The sequence below is a fragment of the Homo sapiens genome, chromosome 2, assembly GCF_000001405.40.
Source record: "Homo sapiens chromosome 2, GRCh38.p14 Primary Assembly".
NCBI classification, from domain to species: Eukaryota; Metazoa; Chordata; class Mammalia; order Primates; family Hominidae; genus Homo; species Homo sapiens.
In genome coordinates, this window is record NC_000002.12 from 240514997 (window position 1) to 240531626 (window position 16630).

General features: G+C 50.1%; 1 protein-coding gene across 84 annotated transcripts in view, besides 1 other annotated feature; it reads right to left on the reverse strand.

The window, feature by feature from the left end:
• The window catches only part of ANKMY1 (ankyrin repeat and MYND domain containing 1), a 92433-nt gene that overhangs the window by 46365 nt on the left and 29438 nt on the right, over positions 1-16630 (reverse strand). For 32 of the 84 annotated variants that reach the window (NR_171691.1, NR_171698.1, NR_171696.1 and 29 more), the window contains 3 exons: positions 10689-10853; positions 8889-9385; positions 5366-5537 (listed from right to left, as the gene is read on the reverse strand). Coding sequence is in view for 71 of the 84 variants with exons in the window: in NM_001393464.1 (NP_001380393.1) it covers positions 5366-5537; positions 8889-9385; positions 10689-10853 (834 nt within the window). In the remaining 13 variants the exon portion in view is untranslated. Of the gene's footprint in view, positions 1-1031; positions 2413-5365; positions 5538-6941; positions 9386-10688; positions 10854-11232; positions 11450-14040; positions 14514-16630 lie in introns of those variants that run through there. The other 52 variants (NR_148696.3, XM_047444658.1, XM_047444654.1 and 49 more) reach the window with 9 other exon arrangements.
• Positions 13282-13783: an enhancer, noted in NCBI's record as "H3K4me1 hESC enhancer chr2:241467695-241468196 (GRCh37/hg19 assembly coordinates)". NCBI's record gives its function as "activates a minimal SCP1, AML or CMV promoter by ChIP-STARR-seq in primed H9 embryonic stem cells {active_cell/tissue: H9 hESC(primed)}" and the evidence as "EXISTENCE:reporter gene assay evidence [ECO:0000049][PMID:30033119]".

The window sequence follows — 16630 nt, forward strand, 5'->3', positions numbered from 1 at the left end:
TCAAGATGAACTGCTCTTGTGAGACACAGGGCCAGAAATTAAAACTATTCAATCCCTCTAGGCCCAGAGACTATCGTAAAAGAGGTGAGCACATGAGATTGCAAGGGGCAATTCTGAGGGATAAAACTAGTTCAGAGTTTTTCTATAAATTAACATTAATATCAAAAGTACGTGGTTACAAGGCCAGTGTCTGGGCCCCAGTGTCAAAATAATAGGGTTTTCTTTGAGATCTGATTTGCTCTTTAATAGAAAATTGTTGGCTGGACGCGGTATCTCACACCTGTAATCCCAGCACTTCGGGAGGCCAAGGTGGGCGGATCACTAGGTCAGGAGTTCAAGACCAGCCTGGCCAACATGGTGAAACCTCGCCTCTACTAAAAATACAAAAATTAGCTAGGTGTGGCGGCAGGCGCCTGTAATCCCAGCTACTCAGGAGGCTGGGGCAGGAAAATCACTTGAACCCAGGAGGCGGAGGCTGCAGTGAGCTGAGATTTTGCCACTGCACTCCAGCTTGGGCGACAGAGTGAGACTCAGTCTCAAAAAAAAAGAAAAAGAAAATTGTAAAAGGTTATAAACGTTTTATGGAAGTCTTACCTTGTGATGTTTAAACTGACTAAAATAGACTCGTTTACAAGGTTTTATTAAAATTAGCTTTAACATTCATAATACAAGGGTAAAATTTGTTTTTCTCTTTTCAACAAAATTTTTGTAGAACATTAATAAAAGATAATTTTTTTTTGAGACTTAGTCTCACACCATTGCCCAGGCTGGAGTGCAGTGGCGCGATCTCGACTCACTGCAAGCTCCTCCTCCCAGGTTCACACCATTCTCCTGCCTCAGCCTCCCGAGTAGCTGGGACTACAGGCACCCGCCACCATGCCCGGCTAATTTTTTTTTTTTTGTATTTTTAGTAGAGACAGGGTTTCACCGTGTTAGCCAGGATGGTCTCTATCTCCTGACCTTGTGATCTGCCCACCTCAGCCTCCCAAAGTGCTGGGATTACAGGCAATAATAAAATATTTTTGTTTCCCTTTTGAGTAAACTGCAGGGAAAAAAAAAGGAGGGACAGATTCAGTTGGCCTCATGCTGTCTTTATTAGGTCTTACTGTTTGGGAAACTGATTCTCCAATCAAAGAGTAAAGGTTTTTGTGGGGTTTTTTTTTTTTTGAAATATTTGAATTATTTTGGCTAAAGGATTGGCAATTGTATAGTGACCTGTGAACCTGTTTTATAATATCAAGTGTCTTTAACCTTTGATATATGACAAACTCCAAAAGCAAAATTTCAAGTTTTAAATTCAGTCTTCTTTACCTCAAACTACCTTTTTGGGGGGTATTGGGTCCCTAAAGTCCTAGAGAGACATATTAGGCTTATTTGGCACGTTAGAATTTTACAGAAAGTATTGTCAAATGCAAAGTGGTGTTTAACCTTCTCTAGGTTATATGTATACAGATACGTTGTTCCTATGTGTTCCAGGATTGCATGACATTCCTGAAATTCTGATCTGTCTTAATATATGTTGCCAGTGGTTATCCTAATTATTGTTAAGTTGTTGTCTGACACAGAAATAACCAAATTTCCTTGTCAACTGTGTCTTTAACTATGGCTGTCCTAAAACTTTTGTCATCCACAATTATTGTTTTGTTTTCTTTTCACAAAGTGACTTACAATCAATCAGCTACCATCCAGGGCTTACTTCTTTGGGGGAGTTCATGGAAAGGACTATTGAATGCATGTTTCTGATAACTTTGGAGATTGTGCCATTGGATTAGAGAGGAAACTTCCAGGACTCTAACTAAAAAGCTGGTGTTAACCCGGTATGACTGCTAACCCAGTGTGAAGCAAAGCAGGAGGTGACTGCATGGACTGAGGTAACGGAGGACCGAAATAATTGTTAATGGCTTCTTTTTGAAACACTGCTGTTTCTTTTTGTTTCATTTTTTGGAGTCTGGAAAGCTTTTCTCTTTTAAGCTGTTTATATCCATTAAAAATTGAGTAGAGTATATACTCTTGCAAACAGAATTTGAAGCTTTTTTCTCTGTCTTCCTGACTTCTCCAGAATTTGGAAACTATGCAAATATTTTTAATTCATGGCAATGTATTTGTTTGCATACATTTATTAGGAATCTGTTTTTTATAATGGGACAAAGTTGGAAGAACTGGTTATTCTCCCAGGGCTTTGACTGGAATGGCACATTTTCAGAATAAGCAGATTGCTTTGAGAAATTGAGATTGACTTTATAGAGTCAATGAGAACCTCTTAGAATAACTGGCCTCATACCTTGTCTATGCAATTCCTTTGCACACTTCCGGGCATGTGGTAAGTGGACCGTGTCACTTTCTGTCAGGCCCAGGAACCTCAAGTTGTTTTGGGACCTTGAGAAGACTGGTTCTCCCAATTCATGCAGGGATCTGAAGGTACAGATGGATCCTTGGCTTGGCCTGAGAGGTCTTTGAGGTAGAGTCTGAGATTCCTTGTGAAATATTCCCGCAAAGCCAACTTAGGATAGCCTGTATAGGCAATGACTCTTGGCCGGGCACAGTGGCTCATACCTGTAACCCTAGCACTTCGGGAGGCCAAGGCGGGAGGACTGCTTGAGTCCAGGAGTTTGAGACCAACCTGGGCAACATAGTAAGACCCTGTCTTTACAAAAAAATTTAAAAATTAGCCAGGCCTGGTGGTGCCTGTAGTCCAGCTACTCTGGAGGCTGAAGTAGGAGGATCACTTGTGCCTGGAAGGTGGAGGCTGCAGTGAGCCATGATTATACCACTGCACTGCAGCCTAGGTGACAGAGTGGGACCCTGCCTCAAAAGAAAAAAAAGGACAATAATTCTTTCTGCACTTTGTGTGGGTAATCAGGCCACTGAAGCTTATTTTGCAGGTAGGTTGTTCTTGCTGTGATTTGCCTTTGGTGGAAGTGGGGGATTGGAAAGAAAGATTGCATTTTAGAAAAAAACTCTAGTATCAGATTAACCTTTGATTCTTGGGAAGCCGCAGGGACACCCATGGTGTGCAGCTGCCCACGACGCCCCTCCTCAGCATGAAGCAGCGAGACGGATGCGTGGCCTGATTCCTCATGATTGAGGAATTGACGAATGGGGGGGAAGGGTGTTGAAACGGGCCCAATTGTCCCATAGAACTGATGTCTATGGTTTCTTTTAAATAAACATAGAAATTGACCCTTCCATTCTTTAAAACTTGGGAACGTTACATTTGTCTTATCTGAGCTCCTTCCTCAGGAAACCAACCAGCAGTCCTCCTAAATAGTATCAAGGAACAGAGACTCACTAGATCACAGCATCTGGACAGTGAGACCCTAGACCCCTCACCCATCATGCCTGCCTCTGGGACCACCAGCTTCTTGCTGACCAACTCTTTTTTCTTAGCCCTCCTAATTCCTGCTTTCCCACACGTGGTTATATTTCTTCCCTGCTATGAAACCCCCAATTTTAGTCGGTTGAGGACAGGGTTTGAGAACAATCTCCTGCTCTCCCTGGTGCAGCACCCAATTAAAGCCTTCTTCTCTGGCAGTACCTGTCATCTCACTGATTGGCTTTCTGTGCAGTAAGCAGCAGGATCTAGACCGAACCCCTGGCGTTTTGGTGACATGTTCATTTCTGAACCCACTCAAATATTTTAATTTTTAAAAACTTTCTATTTGAAAGATAAATGTGTAAATAATACATTCCTGATCAGCTATGAACAGGTGAATAAACATGTGACACAGTGAAGGATGTCCGTGCCCAGTTTAAAGGTTGTGACCTTAATCAGTTTCAAAGACGGAGTCCAATCAGTAAACCTAAAAAGGTATGAAATTATCCTGAGTCTTAAACCAAAAATTCTGTTTTCTGTGTAATCTTACACTTGGAAGAAAAGTTTAATTTCCAAGCTGAAAGGCTGTGCACTAAGGGGCCTGGACAGTGAGACCCGCCTGCCCTCAAACACTCAATGCCGCCTGAGTGACAACTGGCAAGGCTGGTGCCCAGAGAGAGCCATCAGCTCTCACCCCATCAACACCCTGTGAAGAAGGTAAAGTGCTGAAACGATGGACGAGTGTTTACACAACCGGAGAAGAAAAACAAAATCTACAAATAAATTTCACAGCCAAGTGGACAGAAGCCCATCATGGGTCTGCATAATGGGCCCCCTGTTCTGGGGGCACCCAAAGGTGGCCCTGGTGCCAGTTCGTCACCCATCTGGAATCTTCACAGCCACTGTGGACAGCAGTGGTTTCTTGAGTGTGGATGGGTGGATGCACTGAACGGAAAATTGTGATGGGGTTGGTCTAGATGTTAAATTAGAGAAATGATTGTAGGGTCCTTCAAAATACAAAGAGAAAGAATGACAACAAGGGTTCAGGCAAAGGGATGAAATACAACAGATAACGTCACGTTAAAGTGAACAGGAAACGCCGCAGTGAGCCCACGCTTGCTGTCATACTTCCATCTCGCCCCATCCCCTGTGAACCTAACGAGGCCCTCATGGACTGACGGAGCTGCGAGAGAAGCCTGGCCTCACCCCAGACGCCTCTGAGAGGAGGAGCAGTCATGGGCAGCGACCGATTCCATTCCAGAGCAGTGGAAATTCGGGAAGGAAGCCCTTCCAGCAGCTGTGCTGTGGGAAGGGCTGCAGGAATCTGGGGCCAAGCACGGGGGTACACACTGCCCAGGGGGACAGGTGGGAAAAGGAGAGTTGTTTGAACGAGCTAAGCCCATAAAGCCCTGAGTCCCCAGTGAAACTCAGCAGAAACACTAAACTTTCTTCGAAGAACTAGCAGGCTAATTTATTCCAGAGCAAAATGCCCTGTGAAGCCGCTTGCTCACGGGTGGGTGTGGCCTCAGAGAGGGAAGAAGCCGTCCGCTGGGAAAGGCACTTCTTAAGAAAAAAAATATAAAATCAGATTCCCCTTCGAAGATTTTTTCTCAGCTAAATATTTTGCGGCTGGATCTGTTGAGCTAAAGATAAAACCTCAGCACCAAAACCCTTTGCCTCTCCTGCCTGCGTCCTTGTGATGCTGAGCGTGGGTTGAAAGGAGGCCCGCCTCCTCCTGAATATAAGTCTCCCCTTTCCAAGGGGCCTTCAGGATGCGCTTCCCCTTAGTTTGCTTCAACACTGGGAAAAAAATCACACGGATCGTGAAGTACTCTAAAAACTAGCTCGGTGTCCAAATCCTGTCTGGGGACATGGGTGAAAGAGCGGGCTGTGGGACCCCCCACTGCGGCGCGCCGTCATCACTCACAGCCCAGGTGGTCGCCTGCAAGAGCCCACCCCTCTCTTCCGCGCCTAGGTGGAGCGAGGAGCTTCCCGGCCAGTGCCCGGGAGTCTGCTGCGCTCGTCCCGGCGCCCGCCCGCCGCGGCTCCTACCTGCGGCGGAAAGCAGATGTCGGTCCTCGCCCCGTGCTCCAGCAGCAGCCTCACCCCATCCACGTCCCCGGCCTTCACAGCAAGGAACAGGACCTGCATGGGCACGCAGCACAGGTTGGGGTCCGCGCCCCGGCGCAGCAGCAGCTTGATGGTCCGCCAGCGCTTCCTCCGCCTGAAAAAGACGGTGCGCCCGTGGGCCCCTGGAGGGCAGGCACCTGCACTGCGCCCAGAACGGGGCCATGCCAGCGAGGAGGCTGGGGAGGGGCGCGTAGGGAGTATGTGTGTGCCGCAACTACACAATCACACACACAGCACACACCCACACACGCAGACACACCACACAGCACACAACTACACACAAGCCACACCAGAGCGCACACACACGGCACACACAGCACACCACACAGCACACTCACAACCACACCCACAGCACACCACACAGTACACACAGCACACAACCCCACACACAAGCCACACCAGAGCGCACACACCATAGCACAGCGCACACCACACAGTACGCACACGGCACACCACACACCAGAGCACACAAACCACACTACACATACAGCACACAACCACACAAACCACACACACACCACACACACCACTCACACCACAAAGACACAAACACACAGGCGCACACACACCTCTGAGGGGTCACTGAAAGGCTGGCCAGGTCAGGAGTAAACTGTGCCTCCAGAGAAAACTTGGGCCTCAAGAGAGGCTGGGACCAGGTGGGTGGGGGTTGTGCAGCCGCGCAGGGCTGAGGGAGGAGGGGACTGGGGGTAGGGGGCCCAGATGGCAGCGGGAATGACCATGAGGGCAGGGCAGGTGTAGGATCGAGCCAAGCCCACTGGCCCTGCAGTAGGCACAGAATCGGAGCCGCGGGAACTAGATCGTCCTTGAGCACTTGAGCAGCAGCCTCCAGCCCAGTCTCCAGACCCGTCTCCAGACCCTGACCACTCGGAAGCCCAGGGAGCTGCGTTGACGTGGGTGCTGGCTCTCCTTGTCTGCCGCTACCATGTAAAGCTCAAAAACTGTCAAAACATGTCCAGGATCTATGCCTTTCTGGTGGGTTGTTGGTCTCGCTGACTTCAAGAATGAAGTCGCGGAACTCGCGGTGTTACAGCTTTTTTTTTTTTTTTTTTTTTTTTTTTTGAGACAGTCTCGCCCTGTCGCCCAGGCTGGAGTGCAGTGGCGCGATGCCACTCACTGCAAGCTCCGCCTCCCAGGTTCAAGTTATTCTCCTGCCTCAGCCTCCCAAGTAGCCGGGACTACAGGCACCCGCCACCACGCCTGGCTAATTTTTTGTATTTTTAGTAGAGACGGGGTTTCACCGTGTTAGCCAGGATGGTCTCCATCTCCTGACCTCGTGATCCACCTGCCTCGGCCTCCCAAAGTGCTGGGATTACAGGAGTGAGCCACTGCGCCTGGCCCCCCTTTACAGCTCTTAAACATGGTGTGTCTGGAATTTCTTCCTTCCGGTGAGTTCATGGTCTCACTGACTTCAAGAATGAAGCTGTGGACCTTCACTGGCAAGTGTTAACATCTCTTAAAGGTGATGCGGACCAAAAAGTGAGCAGCAGCAAGATTTATTGTGAAGACTGAAAGAACAAAGCTTCCACAGCACAGAAAGGAAACTAAGCAGGTTGTCGCTGCAGGCTGGTGGGGAGCCTGGCGGTGGCCAGCTTTTATTCCCTTTTTTGGCCCCGCCCACATCCTGCTGACTGGTCCATTTTACAGACCACTGATTGGTCCATTTTACAGAACGCTGATTGGTCAATTTTACAGAGTGCTGATTGGTGCATTTACAATCCTTTAGCTAGACACTGAGCATTGATTGGTGCATTTACAATCCTTTAGCTAGACACAAAAGTTCTCCAAGTCCCCACCCAACCCAGAAGCTCAGCTGGCTTCACCTCTCAATAATGCTCACCAACTTGTTAACCATAACAAACCCACTGCATGTTACTAATAAGTAACACTGTCACAAAAAGTTATTTTACAAAACAAAACCAGTTGGGGAGAAGGATGGCACTGTTTTCCACCTTTGCTGGATTCCCCTATCTGCTCTGCACAGCCTTGGTGGAAGTGAGTGGAGATTCAGCCTCCCCCAGGTACGCGGCTGGACGAAGGAGTATTTGAGCAGCCTTTCTGATCATCGTGGTCTTCCTATTTGAACTACATGAACCCAGGCTGGGGGTGGTGAGCTAGCTACCTGGCGGAGCTGGACACTCATGAACCAGCCTTCTGCGCCTGGCTGCACTGAAGCCCACGGGCCCACCTCTCACTGTCAATGGATCTTCACCCACCTGGCAATGGTTCAACATCAGAACTTGGCCGTGTGGGAAAAGCTGGCTCACCAATAGAAGAGATCTGGGCACTGTCGGCATGTCTTCAGGCAGTATCACAAAACTGCGCTGCTAACGCCATCTCACGTGAAAAACCTCTGAACACCCATGTCTCAAAGTTAAGGGAAGCTATGAAGGTCTTGGTGGTGGTGGCAAGTGTCCAGAATTCTGCTATTCACTTGAAAATGTAAATTTCGCCAGCAACAAATAGTGTCATATGTTTTCCTTAAAGTGGCAGGCTGTGTTCAGGAGAATGAACAGCCACATACCAGTGGTCATTCTTCCAATCAAAAATGGGGCAGGAGGTTGGGAAGATGCCGCATTCTGTTGCTACTCTGGCCCTGGGGGAAGCGCTTCTTGCGGGGAAGCGGTGTGCCTTGGTCTGTGGCAGACACACATCAGTGTCCTTCCCATGTTTTCCGACCCAGAATATTCGAGGGGTGTGTACGCAAGGAGCAAGATTTAATGCAATTTGTCATTGCTTTTCTGCTTTGTCAAAGGCATTCTTCAGTGAGACAGGCATCCCCGCAAGTGCACACCGTGGTGAAGGAATACCATGCCCCCAAGCAGGCCGGGCACTGCTGCCCTGCACGCTGGGGGCTGGTGGTCTGCACGGCCCTGTCTTCATACCATCCACCAACATCAACACAAGGAGAAGGCTAACAGAGTCTCAGGGTTATCAAGAGAATCATTTTGACCCCACAGACTCCCTGAAAGGGTCTTGGACCCCCGGGGGTGCATAGACCACATTTTGAGACACACTGGTATAGACAGGGTGGACAGCAGGGGTGTGAGAGCTGCCCAGGCAGGTGTCACTCACGTGCACTATGGCTAGGATAGGACCCCTGACAGTGGCCCCTGCTGAGGCTCCCACAGAGACACTTCAGGCCAGTGCCAAAGGCCAAAGCAGGGCTGGCGTGGTACTGAAAACAGCCCGTCACCGTGGCACCCCCACAGGGCTGGGGTGGCACTGAAAACAGCCCGTCACCGTGGCACCCCCACAGGGCTGGCCATGGCGTGGAGCCACCGACACAGGGATGCTCACACATTCAGACACACATCTCCAGACACAACGCCTCCCACTGGCACAGGGAAGAGACGTGGGTCTGCTGAGCATAGGATTCAGCCCTGATGGTGGCCCTCCACCCCCACCAGCTGGTGCCAGGACCTACTCGATCATGGACAGCGCCATCCTCCGCATGGTCCCTTTGTCGAAGCTGCTGGTGCACGGTGAGGGCGAGGCCATCTTCAGCAAGCTGTGGGACTGGGCGCTTCTCTCCAGCATGGCCTGCGAGAGCTCGATGGAGAAGTCGCACACACACACGTTGGACTCAAATTTCGTCTCAGCACTGCACAGACTGCCCCGGTCTGTGTTTCCCAACACGTCCTCAAGCCCGCTTTCCACATGGCCAAGGCTGCCCTTCACCAACGGGGAGTCCCCCTTCAGAGAGCTGCTCCTGTGGTCTATGGACCCCCCACACTGCCCGGTGTCCTGGAAGTGGCCGCCCTCGTGGCTGCCTGAGACGCGTGGCAGGAGCAGTGGTGCTGGCGGTGGCCTCAGCTCATAGCTACCCTGGGAAGGCACGTTCACCTCATAGTACAGAGACTCCAGGTTTGTGTCCATAAATGATGATGAAAGGATTGGAACAACTGGGAATTTTGGAGGTTCCTTTGGAAAGAACCAAAAAAGTGTCATTAGAATAAATTGGAGTGATAACCTCATTCTAGGACCTTCTTCAGCAAGGACCAATGCCCGTGGCCTAGAGCTGTCTTCAAAGCAGCTAGGCTGAAAAGACCAGGGCAGCTTTCCCCAAACCCTCAAAGAGAAAAGAACACCCCTGTGAAGGCATCGGACAGAAGCCTGCACCTGACCAGGCCACACCTCAGGCTGCATGGCCCTATACATGGCTGCTAAGCTCACAAAATGTGGCCTGTCCGCACCCAGGTGCTTAGAAGTGAAGGAGAGGTTGGAAAACGAAGGCAAATGCCTTAATGATGCTGCTTATATTGATCACACACCAAAATGATAGGATTTTTAATACATTAGGCTAAATTAAATATATTATTAAAATTAATTCCACCTGTTTTACTTTTTCATGTGGCTACCTCCCAAATTTTAATTACACGTTTTATTTCTGTCACATGGCACTGCCCTGGATCTGTTTGTGTTTTGAGCCATGGTTCCCAAAGTGTGGTCCCTGGACCAGTGGCATCAGTGAAACCAGCCCAAGAGTCCCACAGACAGTTGTTTTTGGATAAACATAGAAATCGACTCTTCTGTTAAAGCTTGAAAACTGTATTTGTTTTATCTGAGTTCCTTCCTCAGGAAAGGACCTTCAGGAAGCACCAGACAACTGCAAGCCACAAGATCACCACACCAGATGCCTCCTTGCCTTGTCCTAGTTCCTGTTTTCTTACACATTGTTACATTTCTTTCCTGCTACATAAACTCCCAGTGTTAGTCAGTCAGGGAGATGGACTTGAGACTGAGCTTCCAGCTCCTCAGCTGCAGCACCCGATTAAAGCCTTCTTCCTTGGCAATACTTGGCATCTCAGTGATTGGCTTTCTGTGTGGTGAGCAGCAGGACTGAGACCGAACCCCTGGTGTTTCAATAACATCGGTACTGCCAGGAAACGGTTAGGCATGCAGATTCTCAGCCCCACCTTGGGGGCATTGTCATGGATGCCCACTCTCCCTCCACAGCACCCCTTTCCTGCACAGTGCTGGCAGGGCAGGTCTCGGGGCCCCAGGCTGCTATGCAGGAGATGAGTAAAGAACACACATACCTTGGCATCTGCTCAGGGTCCCTTAGGGGATGCCCAGGCTCTGTCTCTCTTGCCCACTCCCTGCCTTATAACTCACCCTGTACAAGCCTGGTCCACACAGGAGGGAGGAGGCTTGGTGGACATTTACAGAGACAGAGAAGACTACAGGAGACAGTTGGTGGTGCAGTGGCCACCGGGGGGCTTACCTGGGGCTCAGGTATGGTCCGTTCAGCAACATTGGGCTTGAAGGACTGGGCGGGGTAGTGGAGGAGGAAACACATGCTGAGTGCCGTGAGACCCTCATCTGAGCACTTGTTCACGTCGGCCCCACAGTCCAGGAGAAGGTTGACAATGTCGTTGTGGCAGTGAGTCTGGAGGGAGATGAGGCAGGACTCAGGATGATGCACCTGGCCCTCAGGGGTGGGAAGGGTCACTGGGTGTCCTGATGCCCTCATGAGGCCACCCTATGGCAGGGCAGGAACCAGTGCTCATTCGGGAGCTTGGCAAAGGGACAAGTGTGGGACAGAGGAATGGAACAGGCACTCTGCCCCAAACCCTTCTGCACTGGACCACGAGTGTCACACTCAGCTGAGTGGGTTTCTGCTGAACGGCGAGGTGGAGGTGTGGACAATCAGTGTCCCCATGTACCTCAGCTCTGCTCCTGCAGAGGGGGCCACAGAGGGCCACCCACATGTGTGACCCTCACAGCTAAGCTCCTGCGGGCACCAGCTGGGAGGGTGTGGGGCTTACAGCAGCCGCAGCAAGCACAGTGTAGCCCTTTGCGTCCGCCACGTCAGCACTAGCAAAGTTGTCCTTCAGGATCCTACAAATCCATTCGTGGTTCCCTTCCTCAGCCTTTAGGATCATCTCCATGGAAAGTTGCTCTTTGGGCCCACAGGGTGCAAAGCCACTGCGCTTCCCCTCCAGGATGGCGCCCATGTTCCAGCTGGTGTGAGCTGGCTTGTTCCTGGCAACACAACAAGTTTCAGTGGTCCTAGACCAGGTTCTGCACCTCCCACGAGAAAGGGTCCAGCTGGACCACCTCCCTCCAATGCCTCTCCCTCTTGTGGCTCAGCCCCCCACTGTTCACTCCTCAGGTACCCTGAGTGCTGGCAGCTGCACCCGCAGCTGCTCACAATCCACTAGGTTGCACACGGTGGTGCAGACATGCCACCTGGAGGTCAAGATGCTTGGGCTATATGTCTGTCCCGACAGGAATGTGCTGGCTGCGAGTACATCCATGCATCTCTGATTCATCTGGGTGTTTGCTAAGAAATGGGCTGTAACAGCAAAGGCCCTGGGTAGGATGGAGACCAACATACATGTGGTTCCAGTCTCAGCACCAACACCCACATTCCACCCTCTGCTCATCCATTTTTGTCTGAGTAGACAACATGCATTATCTCATGGCTTACTCATCACACAACACTGATGCCTCCTGGTGTGTACACAACCCCTTTTCACAATCGAGAACCTGTGCATTATAGATGCTTCTGTACCTAACAGTCTTCAACAATTACAAGCCCAGTTGATGTCTGCATGATGGATGGATGGATGGTTGGGTAGGTGGATGTATGTTGCATGAGTGAATTGATGGATGAATGGATGGGTGGGTGGATGAATGGATGGGTGGGTGGGAAGATGGATGGATGGGTGGGTGGATGAATAGATGGATAAGTGGGTGGGTAGATGAATAGATGGATAAGTGGGTGGGTGGATGAATGGGTGCCGCATTGGTGGATTGATGGATGAATGGATGGGTGGGTGGATGGATGAAAGATGCATGAATAGATTGATAGATGGATAGATGGGTAGGTGAGTGGATGACTGGGTAGGTAGGTGGGTAGATGAATGGATGGTTGGATGAATGGATGGTTGGATGAATGGATGTTGCATGGGTAGACTGATGGATGAATGGATGGGTGGGTGGGTAGGTAGATGAATGAGTAGGTAGATGGGTAGATGAATGGATGGCTGGATGAATGGATGTTCCATGGGTGGACTGATGGATGAAGGGGTTGGTGGGTGGATCAATGTTGCGTGAGTATACTGATGGATGAATGGATGGAAAGGTGGGTGAGTGGGTGAATTAATGGGTAGGTGGGTGGGTAGATGAGTGGATGGCTGGATAAATGGATGTTAAGTGGGTGGACTGATGAATGACTGGACGGGTGGGTGGGTGGACAAATGGGTAGGTGGGTAGGTAGATGAATGGATGGCTGCATGAATGGATATTGCATGCATGAATTGATGGATGAATGGATGGCTGGATGGGTAGATGAATAGGTAGGTGTGTGGGTAGATGAACAGATGCCTGAAAGAATGGATGTTGCATGGGTGTGCTGATGGATGAATGGATGGTAGGTGGGTGGGTGATTGGGTGGGTGGATGGATTGATGAATGAAAAAGCAGCCACTTATTCTCAGAAAATATGCATTCTGAAACAGTTTAGTGACATCTGAGGTCAATATTTAGGAAAGGAATTAAAGTGTTCTTGAATATTTTAACTTTTAAAAATTAAACACTTCAACCGGGCACGGTGGCTCACGCCTATAATCCCAAAACTTTGGGAGGCTGAGGCGGGTGGATCATGAGGTCAGGAGTTCAAGACCAGCCTGGCCAATATGGTGAAACCCCGTCTCTACTAAAAATACAAAAATTAGCTGGGCGTGGTGGCAGGCACCTGTAATCCCAGCTACTCGGGAGGCTGAGGCAAAGAACTGCTTGAACCCAGGAGGCGGAGGTTGCAGTGAGCCAAGATCACGCCACGGCACTCCAGCCTCGGTGACAGAGTGAGACTCTGTGCCTGCCCCCACCCCCCCCCCAAAAAAATTAAACACTTCTCCTTAGGTAGTGGCTGACTTTTCTGGAGCTCTGGGTAGGGTAGGAGGGTTTTTGGAAGACCAACAGAGCAGAGCATCTTTTCACGCCATCCTTGGACAAGTCAAAGGCCTGCCTGGGCCCCAACACCACTACTGCCCTGTGCTCCCACCCTTAGCTCTCATGCAGATCCCTTACCACCATATAACAGTAACAACAAACCCTGCTCTCCATGTCAACCGAGAGGAGACTTGGCCCATAGAACACCTAGGCGCTGATGCAACGGTGGGGGCAGGGCACTAGCTATGGCCTGCACAAGGGGAAACGCACAGGGCCCAGGGCCAGGACTCACCATTAGCTCCACGGGCTCAGGAGATTCTCCCCAGCCACATCCCCCCACCAGGTTCTACACCAGCCTCGGGACTCCCCTGGCTGCATGTTCACCAAACCACCTTCTGATCACTCCTGTCCCCAAGAGTGGGCAGGTGGGATCCTGAGACCCTCATTCCCCTGCACAGACGTCCAGGGCCCCAGGACCCGGCCTGCCTCCCAGCTCGAGTCAGCAGGGGCTTTCCCTCCCTTCATTATCGCCCACATCAGTCACTTAATGGGAGGAGTGTGTTTAGGTCACCCTGAGGGAGCACTGTCAGTGGCAGCTGGCCGGGGACCTCAGGAACCTGCCTAGGGCAGCCTGCACAGTGCACGGCCCTAGGGGAGGAGCAGTAGCAGACTAGTCACCTGAACTTGTAAGTTTGCTTCTGGATTTTGACCAACAAAGGGGTCTCATTGATTATGAACCATGGTTCTCCATCCTCAACGAACGGAGGAATTTCATTGAGGAAGATGCGGGCGTCCAGCTCTTTGCGGAAAGAGCTTGTCATGGGCAGGTGGTCACTGTTGGTCGAGTAGACATACATTTCTGGAGGCAGCGTTAGGTTGTCATTCAGAAGAAACCGCTTATAGTCATAGAAAAAGGGATCCTGTCCCTCCTGCAGTCCCCACTCCGTTTTCTCCTCTTCTGAGAGGCTGATCCTGGCAGGGCTGTGGGTGATGAAGCTGGAGAACTCAGGGTATCTGAGGAGGGAGAAGCCACTGGGGATCTGGGTGCACAGCTTGATGAGCTGCTCTCGGAACCACAGCCCCACGTCCTGGCTGCCATCGGGGTAGGTCTCGACACCTGGCCCAAACCGCTGGTCCGCTTTGTATAGCCCCTGCCAAGGAAGCGCAATAGACCGAGGAGAGATAACGCGACCCAGCTGCACATGTGATCATGTTTGTAACGTCAAAAGAAATCCCAAAAAAGAAAACTTTCCCAAGAAATGCATGCATTCAGCCAGTAAACATCTCTGGAGGCTTAGGCTGTGCCGCCCAGGGACCGAGGCGGACCAGCTCTCCCGAGGAACAGGAAGGAGGGCACTCCAGAGAGTGCATGGAGGGGCAAGGGGGCAGCCAGGGAGGTCTCAGTGGCCTCTGAGGTGAGGACATGATGGAAGTCTCATGGTGAAAGCGTGTCAGAGGTACCAGGTCTGGGTTCAATTAGGGAACCCAGCCCAAACACCCCAACAGGCTGGGGCAGCAGTGGGTGGGGAGGAAGTATGCAGGCAGCAGGTCAGGTATGACCCAACAAGGGGCAGGAGAAGGAGGAGGAGATAGAGGAAAGGAAGAGGAGGAGGAGGAAGAGGAAGGAGGGAAGAGCAGGAGAGGAGGCCAAAGGGAGGAGGGGAGGAGCAAAGGGAAGGAGAAAGAGGGGGACAGAGGAAGAAGGGGAGCCAATCCTTGCTTCCAGGAACCCAGCAGCTCCCACGCCTTTGCCTGTAGGCAGTGGAGGCCACAGTGCAAGAGAGGAAGAAAGCATCCAGGAGGGCCTCACAAAACAACCAGTGAGCGGCCACTGCCAGGTGCCCAGGGGAGGGAGCACAGTCAGGGGCCTGCTGCCCAGGGGAGGCGCATCTTCCTGAGATGGCATTGTCCCCACCCAAATCCCAACCCACCCAAATCCCATGTCAAATTGTACTCCCCAGTGTTGCAGTGGGGCCTGGTGGGAGGTGACTGGGTCACAGGGGTGTGTCCTTCATGAACGGTTCAGCACCGTGCCCTTGGTGCTGCCCTCCTGATAGGGCATTCTCACGAGATCTGCTTGTTTAAAAGCATGTGGCACCTCCTCCCCCACTTGCTCCTGCTCCCACCACATGATGTGCCTGCTCCCCGTTCACCTTCCAACATGACCGGAAGCTTCTTGAGGCTGTCCCAGCCATGCTTCCTGTACAACCTGCAGAACCATGAGCCAATCACACCTCTTTTCTTTATAAATTACCCAGCCTCAGGTATTTCTTTGCGGCAACGTGAGAATGGCCTAATACACCACCCATGCTACACACCCGCCTGAGCATCCAAAAAGAGAAACTAACACTCTGATCGCCATTGAAGGGTGTCAGGAGACCCAATCTCCACAAAAAAATTTACAAATTGTGCTGGTGTGATGACGCACACCTGTAAGCCCAGCTACTCAGAGGCTGAGTTGGAAGGCTCGCTTGAGACCAGAAGTTCAAGGCTGCAGTGAGCTATGATCACACCACTGCACTCCAGCCTGGGCAACAGAGTGAGACCCTGTCTCAATAAATACATAAATAGAATAATAAAATAAAGTAAAAAAAAAAAAGTCATTGTTAAGAAAAGTGAAAAGGTAAGCCACTACTGGGATAAAATATTTATAAGTATCAGAATATATATAAAGAACTCTGTAAGTCCATAAGAACATAAATAACCCAATTAATAATCAGTAAAACAAATAAACACTTCACCATAGAAGATATGTAGATAACAAATAAGAATATGAAAAAATGTCCAACATCATTAGTCACTGGAGCACTAAAAATTCAAACCATAATAACATACCACATACACCCATGAGAATGGCTAAAATAAAAAGACTGGCAATACCAAGTGTCGACAAGGATGTGAAACAAGTGGAACTTTCGTATCTTGATGACTAAATGCAAAACGGCACAGTCGCTTTGAATGACAGTTTGGCCATTTCTTATAAAATGTACCATACACTTACTGTTTTGACCAGCAACCCCACTCTTGGGTATTTATCCAAGTGAAAACAAAGATATATGTCCACTTCCAATCAACCGTTCTGGGCAGCTTTATTCATAGAAACCAAAAATTTGGAAGAAGTCAAATATGCATTTATTGGTGAACCAATAAAAATTTTGTGTTATATCCATGCAATGGAATACTACCCCATAATTTTTTTAAATTGACTGAAATATGTAAAACATGTATGAGTCTCAAAAGAATCATGCCGTAAGCAAAAGAAATCAAA